At 33.5% G+C, this 20178-nt stretch overlaps 1 protein-coding gene across 41 annotated transcripts in view; it reads right to left on the bottom strand.

Moving 5' to 3' along the window:
* Nucleotides 1-20178, bottom strand: part of ROBO2 (roundabout guidance receptor 2) — a 1743290-nt gene that overhangs the window by 120440 nt on the left and 1602672 nt on the right. For 27 of the 41 annotated variants that reach the window (NM_001378191.1, NM_001378195.1, NM_001378196.1 and 24 more), the window contains 2 exons: nucleotides 6623-6750; nucleotides 2111-2122 (listed from right to left, as the gene is read on the bottom strand). In NM_001378191.1, coding sequence (NP_001365120.1) covers nucleotides 2111-2122; nucleotides 6623-6750 — 140 coding nt within the window. The remainder of the gene's footprint in view (nucleotides 1-2110; nucleotides 2123-6622; nucleotides 6751-20178) is intronic. The other 14 variants (XM_047448673.1, NM_001128929.3, NM_001394212.1 and 11 more) reach the window with 1 other exon arrangement.

The following is a 20178-nucleotide window of genomic DNA, read 5'->3' as shown; positions in this document are numbered from 1 at the left end:
AGTGCTCATGGTATATTGGCATGAGGTTTCTGTGTACAAAGATCTGTACTTTAAATGGTGATTTTTCCTTTTCATTTGAAAAGTCATTAGCTTATAAGTACAACTGCTGCCGATGCAAAACCAACCTGTATTTTTTAACACCTACTGTCATCCTTTCTATTGAGAAATGTTTTCAATCATTCATCTATTTTCATATCTCCTATAAATACTGTAATGCTTAATATCTTTAAAAAACTTCTAAATAAGGTTGCAAAGTTTTTGTATTCCATAGTCATCTGAAAAAGTGTCAGATCGTTCTCAATCTTTCCACTTCATATATTTTATTTTATATATAATCTATATCATTGTTGTATATAATTTATATATAAATCTTTCCACTTATTTTATTTTATTATATGTAATAACATGCTTTCTTATTTGACACATAAATGAGTGAATTTCTGAACCTGAAAACTAGCTCACAGATGTTGAGAAAAAGAAATCTGAGAGTGGTCATGTATTCTACCATCAGCTCTTTCTTTGTCTGTTGCTGCATCATCTTATTCTTTCTCATTCTTTTCTTAATTTTGTGTGTCATTCAAAAGATACATAAAATTATCATTAACAGGAATCCCTACAAATACAAGAAAATAAGGCTTAAAAATTATTACAATATATTCTTCAATTTTCAAACATCAATTGTACAAACCACAATTGATTTCATCAGTTTCAAAAAACACCCTGCAGTTTATGTTTCAATTAATTGTGAACCATAGCTTTATTTAAAAAATATTGAAATGTGAAGTCATGCCTCAGAAACTAGGCATACGATAGCTACCAACATTGGCATACAGAATGCCTTTCACATATAAAATCAATCTTAAACTCAGTCCCCTCCTGCAACAGCTTTGATAAGTCAGTATTATTCTCTCCATTTTATAGAGGAGGTCACTGAGGATAAGGGATATTAAATTACTAATCAAAAGGGAGTATTGCTCAGAAACACCAGATCAGAAAGTCAGATTGGGAAACCAAAGTATATTTACCGTGTTTGCTGACAATGTAAAAACATACTGTCTAGCAACAAAGTCCATGACTCTTTCAACCGAAGGGGGAAAAATGTGTGAGTCTGAACCAACATATATATCAGGTGTCAATGATGTCAAGCTGGTACATGAAGGAAGCTTTTGAAGCTAGATGGACAATTTATAAAGCCCTCAAAATTGAATAAGTTGTTATTAAAGTACCTTTTTGTTATATTAAAGAAGCAGTGTACTAAATTTGGTCACTCTTTCATCCATCCATTTATGCATCCATCTATTCATTTACATGTAACACAATTACCAAAATTTATTTAAACATAGTTATTGGTGAATTAAACTTAAGCTTAAAAGAGATGCAGAAAGCTTACTAAGTCAATGAATTGAAAAATTTTATCTTCCAAATGTTTACAAATAATTACCACTTAAATATCTGCAAAAGCAAGCTGTTAACTTACTTAGATTTCACAAAGCCAAATGAAAAATAAGATATATTAAAACCACAAACACTCAGATTTCATGCCAAAGAACACAGCTCCACTATCCCTCCCCCACTTAGGGTAAGCATCTACTTAAAACATTTTACTTAATTTTGTTTAAATAGGCATGCAGGCAATAAATATGCAGCAGCTAAAAATATCCCTAAAATACTGGGACTCGGAGTAACTTAAAAGAAGTGTGGAAAGTCGTAGAATTTTTTAATTTAGTTCATAACTTTTTTCTTAACATCAAACATAACTAATAATTGATTATTTTATACATACAAAAAAGGAGAGCAATGCTTTCTTATTGTATCCTAATACAATATATTTTTCTCCTATAAGAAAAGCTAGCAGTTCATAAACATTTATCATTCATTTATTCTCTTACATAAAAATTGTTACCTACTTATTGCTATGTAGCAAAAGTCACTACAAAATTGTTTATCAAAGTGAGTAAAAAAAACATGAGCAACTTTTACAGCATACAGTCTCAAGTATTATTTTAACATGGGTAAAATAAATATATTTCATTCTGTCAAATCTTACTATGCATGAGTTATGAAGCACTGTGCAAAGCCATGCTTAGTGGATAGAAGGATGGCTACTTACCAACAGGGCGAGCTGTAGACATTACAATGGTGTGGTGAGAACATAAAAAAGAAATTAAAAAAAAGAAAGAAAAATTATCAGAATGCATGATGTGTAATGTTACATTTAAGTATGGACAATAGAGTGATTTCTAGTCTCACAATTCAAGTATGACCAAGATGTCTGAGTCTGATAAAGTTGAGAGTTATAAATATAATTCTAGGAAAATAATTACTTTGAGAACTGACTGTAAGCAATTTGAGAGATATTTTAGGTAAAGTCTTATCATCATCACTTACTGCAGTTATTATTTCAAAGATCTTGAGTTAAACAGTCTTGTGTTACCCCAAAGTTAAAAACCTGATGAATATAACTATTCAAGTCACAGACTAGCAAATGTCATGTCAATAAAAGAAGGCCTCGCTGTCTGATTTAAATAGCAATTGGATTTTAAGCATGGTTAGTCAGAACCATTACAAGGACTGCAGAAAAGCCCCTGACGCTGCTTTTCAGTCAGTAATAAGTTGAGATTACATCACTTTTCATCCATGGACAGGGTGGATGAAAATATAACAGATAGGTTGGAACATCCTTAGAGATTTCAACTCAGTAGCTCCCTAACTACTGTTAAGCTTTTTTCTTCTTCTGGCAGAGGGCAGGAAACAATGACTGACAAGTTGATTCCTGTTCACACTGAGAACGGCTTTCAAACTGCTGCTTCAACAAATTATCATTTTTTTATTATACCATAACTTTCAATCACTAAAATCAGTGGTAATAGGCTGCCCCTGTTATTAATGCAAATAAATTGTAAGAGATACACATGGGCTTCATAATCCTTTTTTAAAAATGAATAACACGCTATCAATTTAGACGGTAAACCATTTTATACAAAAGCAATAGACAAATATTGTGAAACATGTGATCCCATTATCCAAATGAAGAAACAATATGCTTAGTAGTATATGAAATTTCATGAAATCTGACATTAAAAATAGAATTTCTTCAACAGTGTTTCGCCCATACCTTAGTAGATACAGCTCTAGTGCATATGTAATGTGACTCTGGAACATACCAATAGTTTCGTGTTGATGATGGCTCTTCGGGCAAGATAGGAACAGCCATTGAAAACATATTTACACATATTCACTTAACAGATACATCGTAATACTAGCTTTGTGCAATCCATCTCTATGAGAGCCATGGTCTTATAATATTATTCACAATTAAAACAGGGAAGCTTCAGACCATAGGCAATAAGGCAATTGTAGCAGTGGTACGAAAAGCCTGGTTTAGTGGAACCCTAATGTGGCCTAACATATAGGGTGTGTTTGCTATAGCCAGAGGAAAAGAGGAGTGAGTTACCCAATGTACCACGATTTCTTTCTTTTTGCAGGGGAGTGAGGGGCAGAATACAAGATTGACTATCAAAAAGAGATAACAGACTAATAATGTGAAGTTGTGGCTTATTCTAACAGATGGAGTTTCTCTTAATTTTGCAAAATGTCCAGTAGAAAAAGAACTTTGTTTTTCATCTTTGAATTTGCTACTTTTCAGCTTGCCATCTCAAGTGAATTTAAAACATAATGTTTCCTTCAGAAACAAAAAGGCGTTTTGAGTGTAGGATATTGACAAAAGAAAAAAAAAAAAGAAACTGTGGTGAGAAATCATGTTTTAAACAAATAAAATGTATTTCTATTTTATTTTATTATAGAATAATTCCAAAAAATTAAGGCTTTAATGCTCTAGAAACAATATGATTTTTCCAATGAGATCTTTATGCAAAGCAAATTAAAAAATTAAAAATGGGTAAAATGTGCTTACAAATACGCAGTTTGTGTTGTCATTTTTAAGCCATTTAAAAAGTTTTATTAATAATAAATTAATTGATTAGAATGAAAATGCTAGGAGGTTTGTTGTTGACTGGCTTTATTTCTTCCTAATTTTACATTTGCCAAGTCAGCAAAGGGAGCTTCTTGATGTTCAGCCTCAATTTATAGTTTTTTTTTTTAAAGCATATTTTTGAAATGGGAAATAACTGAGTAGATCTGTTTCAAATTTTGACAATAAACTCTCTTACCTTTTCCCCAATTGGCTAATGTGAATGTTATGATAAAATTTTAGCAGAAACATCACAATACATTTTTTTGTCCTTGTTACATTAGCAACATTTCATCTTGAAAAAAAAAAAAAAAAACAGCAGGTGGATGTTTTCAAAATCAGCAAATTAAACACAACTGTGTCTCTGCATTAAATGGATGAAAATGGGCATGGCCTCTTGGGTCAGTTGACCCTGTTCTAATAAAACGATCCAAAGAAAGGCTGCACATTTCATTTATGTGCATAGAAAAATTAGCAAAGAAAAAAAAATAAGTCGTAGATAACAGTGTTGTCTTTTTTTTCCTGTTAATCTCTTAGCATGAGAAAACCCAAATGCTTTTCCTAATGGTAAAAAATAAATGTTTTTAAACAGTATTTTACTCTACATTATATTGCATTAAGGAGATTTTTTTAAACCCAGTTTTTGAGGTTTCAGTCTTAGAGAGGTGATAAATTCATACCACAAAGAATAAACACTCTAATCCATCTACAGTATACAGATTAGGGGAGAGGCTATTTAAGGTTTGCTGATTTAAGAAAAAAAAAACTATTGAAAACAAACAATGCTCTCTATTAGTTTTGTAAGTTAGCTTCAAACATCCCCGCATGAGGAGCATGCTTTGTTAAATGAAATGTTAAGCCTGAAACTTTCAGCAAATTATGAAAACAATTAGCTGGGAAAGGTCTTAAAGCAAACAGACCACTTCAAGTCTCACTCATCCAAGCATTCAAGTATAAAAGAAACCCTGCTGCTTCTACAAACAAACAACTCCTCACGTTTTCTCACCATTTGTTTAGTCAGCAAATATTTTTCGGATGGAGCATTTATTGGTTGGTTGTTTATTATTATTTTCCATTTACTTTAGAAAAAAAGAAAAAGAAAACTTCGGGGATAATTTGGTCTAGTGAATTGTTTTTGCAAAAAGCTGCCTAGCAAACATATGACAAATGTATGAAGTTATCCATGTAGAGTGTGGGTTAAATAAAGTGTGTTCATTGGCTTACAAAGGTTATCAGATTTTCATCCTACATAATCCATATATATATATATATTCAATTCATATATGATCATAGTCCTTTATGACCTGTTAACTAATGAAGAATGAAAATGTTTTTATGCAACTAGCTGTCAATTTTGTCTAAATATGTTTTGTATCTAAATTCACACTAGAATATCTACAGAAGAAAAAATGGATTTGGTGAAATATTGAGTAGTATGAAAAGCACCAATATTTTTCCAGGTACCCAAAATGCCTGTCTCCTAATAATAACCTGGAGGTAGTTGAGTTTTGTATGATTTGAAGCCCAAATCATAAACCTGGTAAAAATCCTTTTTCTTACCACGCGAAGGACTAACCTGAGAATCCCTCACACCTTTCCTGCAACTTCAAACTTCTCCGAACCTTTTTCCTAACCTTCTGAATCTCTTTGGGAGCAAAGCTGCACAAGGGTCAGAGGTATGACTAAATGGGGTAAGATGTAACTGAGACTTGGATGAAAACATGCAGCCAATCTCTTTATCACGAAGGATGAGAGAAGGAGGCACAGTTAGCAGTGGGAGAAAGGATGTGCTTGCCTATCTTTGTTTGATTTTCTAGGAGTGTAGATGATGCCATGGCTAATGTCTGTTTCAAGAATTAGTGTGAGTGTCTACTTGGTACTACTTGGTACCTTGAACTATGTAATTTCCCTCACGTGATCAACAAGTCCCACTGAAAAGACAGTTAATTTATTCTAGTGCACTGTGAAGTTAAGTAATGCTTTCTTTCACTTATAAGCAATTCCAGGGAGTCTATAAATGAACATTATTCCATGACTGAGGAAGTGCATGACACCCAGAAAGTGAAAGTTATTACAAGAGCAGCACTGACTATTTCAATTATTTAAGGCCAATGAACTTCACAAATCAGTCTCTAAATCAGATTATCTCAAGGCTGGAGAGCTCCTCTGTATTCATTTTCACCTTTGGAAGCATTGCTAGTTTTTTCAGATTGCTGTTTTGAATGCTGACATTAAAAAGGACTTCAAAACAGTATGCTACTAGTATAAAGTGACAAACTAGTAAACAGAAAGCATGAGAGTACTTTTGAAACTGATGACATTTAAAAGCAGTAAGTAGTTGAAAGCAATGGAAATGAAAGAGTAGTATAGATCTTTTCTATTTTTAAGATTTACTTTTAAGCCATATAAACTATTAACGTTAAACCATATAAGCAATTTATTAAATAAGAATTAATCTTTTTAAATTATCATCATTGGGAACCAAATATTGAAAGTAATTTTATTTCAACTAATGATAGAGAGGACACAAAATCTAGGCATTTTAGTACAACAAAACAGCATAATTCATTATTTTGATCGTAAGTTCACTTACCAATTTAACCAAATATTAGTCTCCTGGTTCAATTATCTTTGACATCTTAAATCTCTTACCTCGGACGGTGAGTGTAGCAGAGGCTTCCATTTTTCCAACCCGATTCTCAGCAATACACATATAGGTGCCTTCATCTGTACTCATGGTCTTTTTAATTCTTAGTGTGTAATCGTCTTTGATGTCATACCTGTGTAGAAAATGAACTGGTTTTATTAAATAGTAGTAGCTATACGGATAATAACATTAAGTATTCATCTTCATTTTTCTTTTTATACTGTATTTTACCTAAACACAAATACACACACACACAAATCAGCCACAAAGTGCAATTACTTAGATTAAAGATATTGCTAATAAATTCAATTTCATATCTGATCTTTAGCTGTTTGTCAGTTACCTATACTTCACATATGTATAGAATTCTTTCCACTTCGCAACTATCAAAGGCATAATTAGCACTTTGACCTTTATTTTGTAGCTCTTGACTGCTAAAGAAAACAGTATACATCTCAGTTTCTTGGTGAGTTATATTTCATTAGTTTGTTAGTCACATTGTGTTCAATACTATGATTTATTTTTAGGCACCTTGGCTATTAGAGAGCCGAAATATATTAAAGAACAAAATTTTTCTCTTATTTGTTGGCAAATTGACAAAATGGGCATTAGTTAAAAGAATTAAGGGTATGTAATCAATTTTTAAATAAGGAATATTAACTCCTGAAACATCAACATGCCTTGGAGTGATTTTTGGAAATGCACATCCTCAGCTCGTTCACGTGCATTTATGGTTTTACCTCCATTTCATTAATGAAACAGACTAAAAAAGTGGGTCAGAAAACATTATAACACCAAAAAATTTGGGAGTACTTGCATGAGAATATGTTCTTATTTAATTCTAAGAAATTATAATTACACAAACTAAATAATCCAGCTATCATTTTTTTCACATGTGATCTTTCCTCCTGATATTTACCTGTGGTTTTTATTTCAAACACACATTTTGCAATAGTTTCTGATTGGCCACCTTGCTTCTCTTCCTCATACATACCACAGTTAGATCCATGTTTCCAAATATCATTTTAATTGGTTGTGTCTGCTCAAAACTAGCTGTGACTTCCTATTGTTTTCAGGACAAATACAAACATTTTAGGCTTGCATTTAAAACTGCCATAACCAGATGTCTTCTACTTCTAGATTTAGCTAGAAGAATAACCCAGCTTAATTTTATTAGAGGCTAAGGCATGAACTAATACAGTCCTAATTTATAGACCTTGACATGAGAAAAAGCATTGTCTATTTACCAATCATGCCAACTAAACTTAACTACCCTTACTCTTCCATCCTTTAATTATCATGGTTACTTTTCTGTCTGCAAGTTTTGCCTTAAAATTCTGCTTATTAAATATGTCATAAGTGGTTAGGGAAAAAACTTATCCACTACTTTTTTATCCACTACTTTCATTGTGAAGCCATCCATTACCATACTATAAAAATCGAATTACTGCCTTTTTGAAAACTTATTGCTACAGCAATAATTCTGCACTTAGTTACATTTTGTATTGTTATCTATTTTGATGAAGGCAGACATCTTGTCTGCTTCACTCACTGCAATATCCACACTCCCAAACATAGAGTTTTTAACATCCAGTAGCAAAATCAAGTGGTTAAGAGCACAGGCTCAGGAGCAAAATGGCCAGAGTTGTATTCATGGACTTGGCCTCTTAATGTGCTTGTAAGAGTTGGCAATATACTTAAATTTTCTGGGTCTCTATCTCCTAATTAGCAAAATAAGTGCTAAAGATAACATCTATTTCGTGGAGTGAGTGTGAGCTTTAAATGACATATAAAGTACTTAAAACAGGCACACAAAAAGCACGATACATGTTAGCTATTATTATTCCACTACTAGGAGCTCAAGAAACACTAGTGGTGAATACATGATACATATCTTGTTTCCTACTGATATAAAGGCCAACTGTGAATGGCTTCAATATTTCAAATTACTTTACCTGAGTATAGTTTAGAGCAAGTACTAGGCTAAAATGCATGCAGATAAACACTTTCTGTTTAACTTTGCCAGTAAAAATGTGAGAAAAACAATTATTTTGATAATGGCCTCAGAAAAGTTACTGGTGATGTATTTGATGTCTAATAAAAATAATCTTTTCTACAGTTAGCCTATGAACTGCATGACATGCTTAGCTGTAAGATAGAAACATTTAAATACTGTATTTTGCAGCCATTTCCAATTCATCTAAAAACATTGAATTCTTGACCACTGTTTAGCTATTTATTCTTGTTGTCTGACTTTCAGAAGTCTCTACATTGCCCTATAGCTGAGTTTTTTCAAGAGCTACAAGAGGGGAGATAAAGTTAATGGTCTAAAAAGTCTTTTCTGGATCAATATATATGTGAAGCCATGATTCCAAGTTAATAAAAGATACCTATATTGTATATTATTTCGATTGGTCATTGAGAAAAAAATTGTATGTTACCTCCAGTTAAAAAAAATTATTGCACACATTGTTCATAGTATCTGCAAAACCTTATTTGGAATTAGAAATTGTTATTTTATAGATGAGAAAACTGACACTTAGGCAAATAAAATGACCTGTTCAAAGTCATGTTATCAATAAATAGAAAAACCAGAATTAAAACCCTGACTCTGAATGTGTCACTTTTCTCATTCTATGTGTACTTCTTCTCTGCAAGAAAATAGTTTAATTTTTAAATGCTAACTTAAAACAGTAAGACACATAAGTACATAATTTGGACAAAAATAATTTCATATTCAGCAAATATTTAGTTATAGCATATGACAAAATTTTACTTCACATTAGAGACATTCATTACACAGAAGACAACACGGAAGCTAAATAAAATGTAAAAGTGATCTCCTGCTTTAGTTAAAAGAAAAAAACCTGTTTATTCAAATCATCAGAGAACTGCAAATCAAAACCACAATGAGATACCATCTCACACCAGTCAGAATGGTTACTATTAAAAAGTCAAAAAATAACACACGCTGATGATGCTGTGGAAAAAAGAGAATGCTTACACACTGCTGGTGAGAACATAAATTAGTTCAGACATTGGGGAAAGCAGTTTGGAGATTTCTCAAAGAACTTAAAACAGAACTACCATTTGACCCAGCAATCCAATTACCGTGTATATACCCAAAAGAAAATAAATCGTTTTACCAAAAAACCCCACAAGCATTTATATATTTATTGCAGCACTATTCATAATAGCAAAGACATGGAATCAACCTAGGTGCCCATCAACAGTGGATTGAATAAAGAAAATGTGATGCATATATACCATGGAATACTACACAGCCATAAAAAAGAAGGAAATCATGTTCTCACTTATAAGTGGAAGGTGAAAATTGGGTACACATGGATGTAAAGATGGAAACAATAGACACTGTGGACTACTAGAGGAAAGAGAGAAGGAGGGGGTTAAGGGCTGAAAAACTATCTGTTGGGTAGTATGCTCACTTTCTGGGTGATGGCACAATTTGTACCCCAAACCTCACTGTCACACTATATACCCATGTCACAAACCTTTACATGTACCTCCAAATCTAAAATAAAGGTTGAAATTTAAAAAAAATTAAAAGTTTTTATTTAAAAATTACTAAATACATAATATTTGAACCCAAACTAAGTCTGAAATCTGACTTCCTGAGATTTTTTTATCATTTTAAAGGAAGGTGGAAACAAGAATAGGAATAAGATTTTGTTTGTTTGTTTTTTAATTAATGGTACGTTGATCAGGGATAAAAGTAATTGTGCATTCTATGATTGCATATTACCTTCCTTGTGAAAAGTTAAAATTAAATATTACTTGGGAAGAATAAAATGAATTAATCTTAACAATTAATAAAAGAGACTACCTTTCAAAGAGACTGTGCCATTAAAATAAAACAGCAAATCTATTTTTTTTCTACCTATAGAACAGGTTTTCAGATACAGATTGTAAAACTATGGCCAAGGCCAATAGTCTGGTGACATGGGCCAGGTTTGTTAGAAAACATGTAAGTACGGAAAGTAACTAAATCCATTCCCAATGAGATAGGTATGCTTTGGAGTAAAAAGAAGTTTTGGGTAATAATTTTTAACGGTCTAGCCTATAACAGTGCCCAGCATAGTTCCTAGGAATTAGTAGATGCTCATTATCATTGTCATCTTTTAATTTCTCCTTGAGGATCACTGAAGTTGGAAAAGATTATAATAAACATTTCATTATTTTATTCAAGAAATGCTGATGACATATCTACGCATTGCACCAAAATTTGGGGATACACAACTTGATAGGATTCAGAGCCTAGTGAAATGATGTCTCCACATTAGGGTAGATCAGAGCTACCTCCTTGGCTCTCTCCAGCTAACACACATTTCCCAGGGCCATGCCTTGTCTTTCTCCAACTAGAAGTAAATGCTACAATACATGTCTTGTTATGTCCCATCACATTGGGATGTTGTAATTTAAAAACAAACAGACTTTGAGTACTTAGTTATTGAAATGCTCACAATCTTTTAAATTCTCATTTCTCGCTGAATCTTTGCCTGAGGAAAGTCTGCAAGTATTATCAGCAGTTTATGTGATGTATTTATATCAGAATACTTTGAATATATATAAAGTGATTGACTCGTTAGGCTAAATGAAATCTTTAAAAGTTCACCTTCTGCAACTGTCCATCAACACTTGAATCCTGTCTGCAGCATGCAACCAATCAGTCCTCCCACTTGCTCCTGTGACAAGGGGTCTATTCTATCTTTGAACATCTCTATTAGAAGATCTTCTATATATGATAACATATGATAACTTTTCTTCCCAAAGTTACTACTGATAGTACTACTCCTTGTGCCAAACAGAAAAGTATACTCTCTCTCCTACAAGACAGCTTTTTCAATTTTGGGTTTCTTATGAATTATCTCATCTTCAGGTCAACTATTCCTAATAACAGCAACCATATACTGTACAATAATCCCCTTTATTCAGAGGGAAAATGTTCCAAGACTCTTAGTAGATGCCTGAAGCCACAGATGGCACTGAACTACAAATACACTACACGAGACAGTCAATCTGATAACCGAGAAGTTCTACTAAGTGACTCACTGGAAGGTAGTGTGCATAGCGTGGATATGCTGGACAAAGGTGTGATTCGTGTCTTGGTGGAATGAAGCTGGCCAGTGAAAGCTTTCATCATGTTACTCAGAATGCTGTGCCATTTACATCTGATGAATTGTTTATTTCTGGACATTTTCATTTAATATTTTTGAACCACAGTTGACCAAGGGTAACTGAAGCCACAAAGAGAAAGTACAAAACTGCAAATCAGAAGGGACGACTGTAACAGCAGTTATTTTATGTAAGGGTTTCAAAGGGAATTAAGAGCTTCAGTACAGATTTACTGATTGATAAACATAAATCTGATTATGTCACTGAACTCTTCGAAACTATCCAATGGCTTCTCATTTGGTCACTCAGAATAAAACCTATTTATTTACGGTGTTTAAAGTTTTAGATAATCTGGTCCTTGCCTCCCTCTCAAACTTCATGTTCACTATTTTCCAGTCACATGGCTTCTCTTCTACTTGTTCAATGTAAGAAGCCAGTTCTGTGTCTTTGTAGTACTTTTGCAAATTCTTGGAATGTTCTTCCCTTGTGTTTTCCATGGCTGACCCTTTTTGAATTTCAGGATGACCCAAATATCATTCCCTTATACATGTCTTTCCTGCCTAAGAATTCTAGTTGCTATCCACCAATCCAGTTACTTTTAAAAAATTACTTTCTTTTTAGTCTTTGCTTTCATCTTTCTTTTGTCACTTTTTAATACGTTTTATTTTCTTCAAAGCACATATCTTTACCACATCTTTTGTTTCCTTATTTCTTGTCTTCTTTATTTCCAAGAGCATGTATGTTCCATGGGAATGAGGACTGGTTCTCTCTTGCTTTAAACTGTATAGCCCAAGTCTAACCAAACAGTGCCTGAGATATTGGAGGCGTTCAATGAATGCTTATTGAAAATATCATGATGCATCAGCAAATGCTTGAAATTCTCCTCTACTTCTTTATAGCATGGTTACCAGTGCAACAATTATATGCAGTACTGAGAGATTAACTAATTTGAAATATAACAAGATATTGTATCAAGAAGCATAGTAATGTTGTGTTTATATACCAGCAATTAGCTCTGAAATGTAACTTAAATTCATATTGATATGATACTGAAAATGTAAGAACTTGGAATATTTAATTCGTTAATGCTACTAGCTATATGGAGATAACTTGGCAATTTGAGTGGCAATCTACACATATGGTTTACATATTATCATTAATAAATTACCCTCTGTAAATTAGTAACATGAACAAATAAATAATTTCTCTCTCTCCGCCAAAATAAATGAAATAATTTTAGCAGAATGTATAAAACAAATGTGAAGACTGAGAGAAAACAATGTAAGCTTTGTGTTTTGTTCCATGCTTTCAAATATATAAGCTCATTATTTTGGCAGGGAGCTTTCAAGTCACATGTCTTATGAAAATAAAATATGACAATAAAAATATATTTGCCTAGTATTCTCAAATATACTCTTTCATTTATACTTTTAACAATTCTGGTAGGTAAAGTGGGAAGCTATTATTTCCCCCATTTTAAAAATTAGAAAATGTACATATACAAAATTCAACCTGAAAGCAAACCATATAGCTGTTCTTAGATGTTTATAAAATCTGGCATAGCACAAATTGGGATATTATTTTCAATTTTATTCCTCGTTTCTTAACAAAGGAATTATAGCATGTGTAAAAATAACAATTTCAAAGAACTTCATTAAAGTCTAGAAAACCATGAAGATATGAATGAGTGAACATGAAAATATTCAGCTAATCCAATATTATTCATATTAAAAGAGAACATATGGAGCCTAAATAAAGTACCTCTATGATAATAGATAAAAATACTCTTTTATTATGCAATAATAAGAAAATACATGAAAATTGGTTATTTCAAGACACCAACAGATCATATATTCTGAGACATAGTAAAGAATTTCAAAATTATTGAGCCTAGTCTAATGTCCTAATTTTAATATTAGAAAAATAGTTCTTTGTTATCCAGTGCCCTGGAATTCATCGGTAGCAAAGGTTTAGACCGTATTGGAATCTAAGTCTTCTGGCGCAATTTTCATCAACTATATTACAAAGATTTTTACCCAGCTTTTTACCAAGGGACAATATAGGCATTCAATTTTTAAAAATCCTGATGTATGAATCCATATAAGGAAATTAAAGTAAGCAGGGGATATACTACCAAAAGAGTAGCTGCTTCTCAGAATTTTTTCCTAATGGGTTCAAAGAATAAATGGTTAACATCACAGTTAAGCTTTTAATGGCTGTTGTTACTAGAATTCAGGTCTCATGGTCTGGGTACTGAAGTTTATCTTAGATTGTATAAATTTGTAGTTGTGTGTGTGCGTGTTGGCCTAGTAATATTTTAAAATTATTTAAACAATTGACATAATTTAAAACGTGGACATTTTTAACATACAGATTTGAATTTTCAAATCAAGATGTCTTACTCCAAAGTACAAGCTCTTTCGGCTTCCTCACTCTGCTGACTCAACAAACCTAATACAATTGTACACCATGCAGACACTACTGTTCCTCCCAACATCACCGACCCACTATGGCAGTCGCTAAGCACCTGCAAAAATCCCGGAAGACTCAATCAAATTATGATACCTTTATGAATATTTACCTTAAGTGTCTCAGGTCAGAGAAAGGATAGGCCTGTAATTGTGATCAGATTAACTCCTATCTGCAAAAGCTTAAGAAATATAAAGACTATTTTTAAAGAAATTATGTCTAAGTAACTTCAAAATCTAGAATGTAAATAGTTGGCTCATTACTAATTTCACATGTAGGCAATCTGAAGCAAAACATGACAAAGTTTCTTTCCCAAAACCACATATGGAGGCAGTTATAGTTGGGGAAAAAACTCTTGTGACTATCTACTACCAGTCTCTGCTTTCCCTCATGGGTCATGGTTTCCCTAAGACAATAATTTGCTCCCTAAAACTAATAGGTTTCAAGTATTTTCCCAGGTCTAACAGATGTGGCCTTATTTCTTAGATTTCTTTCAAGATACATTGGTCCATGTTTAATATTAATGTCATTGTAACCATTACATTGGAAAATTGGGAAAATATGCATTTCTCCCTTCAAAGCAAATATTGACAGAGTGATACAATAAGTTATAAATAATATTTCCTTACATTTAAAGACATCTTTATAGTGTACAACAGGGCTTTACATATAATTGCACAGCAGTAAATAACTTAGAGAAAATGTCTGTTTCCAAACACAATTTTACAGAAAATGCTGACATTGTTCTCTCAAGTTATGAAGTGACTGGAACTCTTTATAAGTACATTTATTTTTCTAACAAACAGCAGCATGCATTTTCTATTGGATGTGTGTGTTTATTGCTCTGTGTGCATTTGCATTGGGCAAGTAGGTATTTATGTACTGCCGACTTTGTGTTCAGTTTCAAAACCTCCAGAAACTAACTTTATCAATATTTTTTCTCAATATTCCTCTAACACCAAATGTAACCCTGGGAGGTTCATAAATGTTTTTCCTGATGTATATTTCCTTTAAAATTATTCTCCTATTAAACAATCAAAGGTATTTATATTTTGCTTTTAATTGCATTTAGCATTCTTTAAGAAGTCTAGAATAAATTTTCAATAAGTGGAGTTTATTTTGGTATGAAACAGCTACTTTGTAACATGGTATAATATTATATTATATATGATCAACACAGGAGGTTGATCATATGTAATGATCAGTGTCAATGTAGAAGGTATCATTGGCTGTAATTAAAACCAAGAAAAAAAGAAACAGATGAAAAAACATTACTGATGAGGAAATTCAAACAGAAATTTGGTGATTTTCATTTTGAAATCTGCTAGTCTTTGACTTAAATAAATGCAGTCATTGTTGCCAAGTTTGATTAATGAGAGTTGTACAATCGTGTGCCGACAGTCCCCACCATAGAGATACCTTATTTTTTCTGATATGAAACACTGCTGAAAAATGCAACCCAATCAGATTTGGCCCCTGGACAACGTGTGCTATCATCACTGTACCGTGAATTGAGATTGATTGGTAACCAGCTGTGACAAAGTGGAAAAGAAGCTCTGTGTTTTTGCAGGGTTTTTTTCTCAAGGAAGAAAAAAAGAAAACGAAAACTGAATTGTGTCAAAATCATTACCATCTGTTCAGCTGAATAACAAACAAAACAAAGTAAATTTATTTTAATACTTAAAACCCACAGTTTGCATGCAACATTCTGTTTGTGTGTGATCTTATATTTGATGAATAATCTTAAAAGCACTTCAAAAGAGAAATATTAAGTATGTTTTAAGAAAAAAAGTACTACACTCTAAAATCATTTCCAAATTTAAATAAAAGAATCTATGTTATTTTTTCCTCATAAACATACCTGCTTTCCTACCTAGTGGAAAGATTTCCTATATGGCTAAATTTATTTTTAAAATATCAAACAGGAATTGAAAACTGGCAAAATTTTATAACCACATTTCATTCATTACTCATACTTTGCAATTCCTGATGCACATTAAGCCTCAAGGGTAGGAACTTCTCATGATTTTCTAGCTTTTAAGAATATAATTCAGACAATTTAGGGACTCCCAAGCCTTCCACAATGAACACAGAATTTAGGAGGAGGAAAAAATTAAGAAATATAAATTAAAATTTTTATTACCAACTGGAATTTTATCATGCTCAGTTCAAGCCTGTGTATCTCATCACCTTGTTTGAATTATGTAAGGACTCTATAAAACTTCCTGACTGGCCATTCTCATCTCAAAAGCACCTTTGTTTTTCTTGGAAGGAAATGTATTTTCTCAACATGTTTAGTTTTTGAAATCACCTACTACTTCTTATTATAAGATTTCTGGCTCCAATTCTAGAACAAGTGTTTTGAATTAGCACTTAAAATTTTATTATGCATCTGCTGTATTAATCGTTAAGTTGGCCAATAGTAAAAACTATGAATTGAACCAGGAAACATTTAATGTCTATATGAGTAAATGTTTCTTTCCCTTTAAGGAGACTTGAAAGGTTTGTTTTCAATTTTTGAAACACTTCCACTCAATTCAAATAGCCGAAGGTCAACCTATACCTTTCAGACTCTTTCAGAAAGTAAAGGTCTATAATTATAGGCATTCCATAGTTCCATAATTCAAGAAAATTTCACTATGGAGCTTTCTATGAAAATGTCACATAGTGTAATGTCTTACTTTCAACAGAAGAATTTTTAGGAGAAAATCACTTATTCATCTTATGGAACCCTGTACTGATTTTTTATACATACAAACTAACTAATCAGTTCCACTGTACCATGTTATGGACATGGAGATACATCCATCTAGAACTTAGTGACAGTGTTATTCAATTACATTAAAACATGCATTTTAGTAACTCACAAATTTATTCAAGGCACGCTTCTATGAAATATAAACTTTCCTGCAGAAACTTAAATCTTTTACCTCTTTCAATTTTGAGAGCTGAAAATAGGAAAAGTTGCTCAATTTTTCTAAAATGCTCTCTCCATTCACAATTTTTCAAGTAATATCTTTGCACAGGCAACACTTGAAACTCCTATTAAGAATCACATAAGCACTTCTCGGCAATCTAATTCCATATGATGCTTTCTTAATCTTCAATATTTAAGGTGTATTCTAAAGGCAAGCTCTTACTTAAATCACCTTTGAGGTCTAAGACCCCAAAACGAACACAATAAGCCATTATTTTGTTGGTACAGACTGAGTCTATGTTTTTAATCTTTAGACAACCACAGGTCACACTTTTCTTTTTATCTATAATTATAATGCAGGCTAATGTTCACAGTTTGGGTGAGGTGAATATTTGCCAGTTCTCTTAGGGATGAGGTTGCAAGCAACTTCTGGGCAGGGCACCTTAGAGAAGTATGAGAGACGGATACCCTTTTAAGAAAATAAAAATTTTCACAGCATTCATTGTAAAATGAAAGAAAGAAAAAATCCTGGGAGGTTACACTTGCAGGGAAATAGTAAGAAGCAAGGTTATCATTCAAGTGTACTTGCTGTTCTGTTCTGAAAGCCTCTACAGAAAACCAAAATGAAACTTGAAATATGATGGCATCCTTATCTTGTCTTAATTAGCCAAACCAAACAATATTTTAGCCTCTCTTGACTTCCCATATTCTACCATTGCTTACCTTCATCCTCCAGTGACCACTGGCTCTCTCTTCGGCCTGACTGAAAAACGCAAACCCCTATGCTAATCTTCCTTTAGCACAGCTGAGAGAGCAAGGCATTTTCCAGCTAAAAAACTAAGCGAAGACATACAAACAAAAAAGATGTTCACCGCAACAGGACAATAGTTGATTTAATGAAGTGCAGATTTCAGCTCATAAGGTAACTAGGCCCAAAAGACTAGGACTTGAACCGATGCCAAGGAATTTGGGTACTGACCACCTTGGAGCTAGAGCCTCTCTCTGGAGTGTGGGCAATGAAACCAAACTTCAGCTGGGCTCTTTCAGACATCAAAGCATCCTGCTCACCCTAAACCAGAACTCCTTTCAAGTTTTAACCAGTGTAGCCTGTGGCTGTCTTCTGAGTGCCCGTCTCTCCCATCTTACATTCCCATGGTAGACATGGGAGGCTCCAGGGATTAATTTTCTTGGCAAATTTGTGGCCAGCTGTAAAGTTCCCAGCTCGTTGTTTTTGTTCATCGCCCAAGTTTCCATCTTCTCCTGTCATCTCATTCTCTTGTATTTCATTTCCTCTGAAATGAGTTTCATCTCCTCTAAAATAACCCCTCACAAAATTTTTGTGGTCATCTCCATGAGGATTTTTCACTGTGCTTGCTAAACTACCTGTTTCCTGATTTGTGAAGTGTCCTTCTTATCTGTCTTTCTCAGATATTTCTTCTTCATGCCTTAATGCAAATCTGGGTCTTTACTGAGGGTTTGCCCTCTGGAGTAAAGGCGGAGGAAGAAGGAAAATGAAGACCACGCCTCCAACCATTCCAAGCAATTACTCCGTGTCTGACATAGAGCAATTACTCAATAAATATTACTTGAATGAGATATTTATTTTCTGCCGTGCATATAAAATACAGCAAACCAAAACAAAATTCAGCTTCATTGAGTATCATGTCATCCAGTTTTCAAATGAAATATTTAGAATTTCTTCTTCCTTAAAATGATAATTAACAGGCCCTATCTCACAGGGCTGTTATAAGAACTTAATGACTCAATACATTTTGAGATTTGCACAAGGCACATAGTAAATCCTCAATAAATGTCACCTAACATTTTCCATAGCTGAACTCACTTCATTCTTATAACCTCCTCCAGTGATATTATTGTCTCCATCTCTCTTTGGCCACTGACCTCTCTGGCTTTTGAAATGGCTCTGCCTTTGAAATCTGAGGTTCAAATGTCGGATCCTGCCATAATCTTGGTTGTGTCTTCCTCACTTATTCAGTTCACAGACTGAACCTCTTCCTCCATGTCTATCAACCCTTTGTATCTTCTTTATTTTCTCTACCCTGCTTAGATGTCGTGGTCCATAAGTTGCTTGTCTATATCTTCAGTTATCTTGTTCCATAGCTTTAATGTTCCATTTGCCTGGCAAAACCCCAATTTTATGTTAATATAACAGTTTACTGTCTTCTTTAAATATATACAGTAGATTAATAAAAACTCCAATTCACTCTTGACTGGCTCTCTGGAGGGCTCAGGGAATAATTCAAACTTCTGAACTCAGTCTATATGTGACATCCTCATTGGTCTCTGGCCACTTCACCAGTCCCCTCCTATACTCGAGCACTCAACTATACCCCAGAATTCTCGGGCTGTCTCTTGCATCCCTGCATATGCTGAGCCTTCACATCTGGCCCACTCCCCATACCTCCCACCTCTCTCTCCCTTTAGCCCAACTACTTCTGCTTATGCTGACACGGGATTAATTTAATATCTACTTATACCTCTAGATTTCAATCTCCATAAAAGCATGACCCTGTCACTTTTATTAACAGCTGTATCCTCAGAACTTAGTACAGTTACTTGAACCTAGTAGGCAGCCGTGACAAATTTGTTGATGAGGGAATAAACGAAGGCTGTACACGTGCAGGAAGGGGAAGGTTATAGTCTCTCATCGGCATCAAATATTGCTCATGACAAAATGCCAAGTGTGCACAATGGAGACACTGGGGACATCACACAGTATATTTTGAGCAGAAGAATCACTTTATTTTCTGTTTACTGAACTTTGAACTCTAAGTTTGTTCAAGTTATATCTTCTATTCATCATTTTCCACTTCAAATATTCTCTCTATGTCCAATCCCTCCCAATTCTGAATATTAACACAATTAACACAGTTTTTCACAGGACCCAGGAGCCACCCCTAACCTCTAGTTCGAGGTAGATATAAGTTAAATAGAATATCCTTGCTCACACCTGTCTTTGTTCTATTGTTTAACCTGAAAACCTTATGAAGGAAACCATACCCTAATGTATGCGGGATTGTT

Source organism: Homo sapiens, chromosome 3 (genome assembly GCF_000001405.40).
Source record: "Homo sapiens chromosome 3, GRCh38.p14 Primary Assembly".
NCBI lineage: Eukaryota > Metazoa > Chordata > Mammalia > Primates > Hominidae > Homo > Homo sapiens.
The sequence above is the reverse complement of the archived record's forward strand: the minus strand, read 5'-3'. Positions and strand labels throughout refer to the sequence as shown.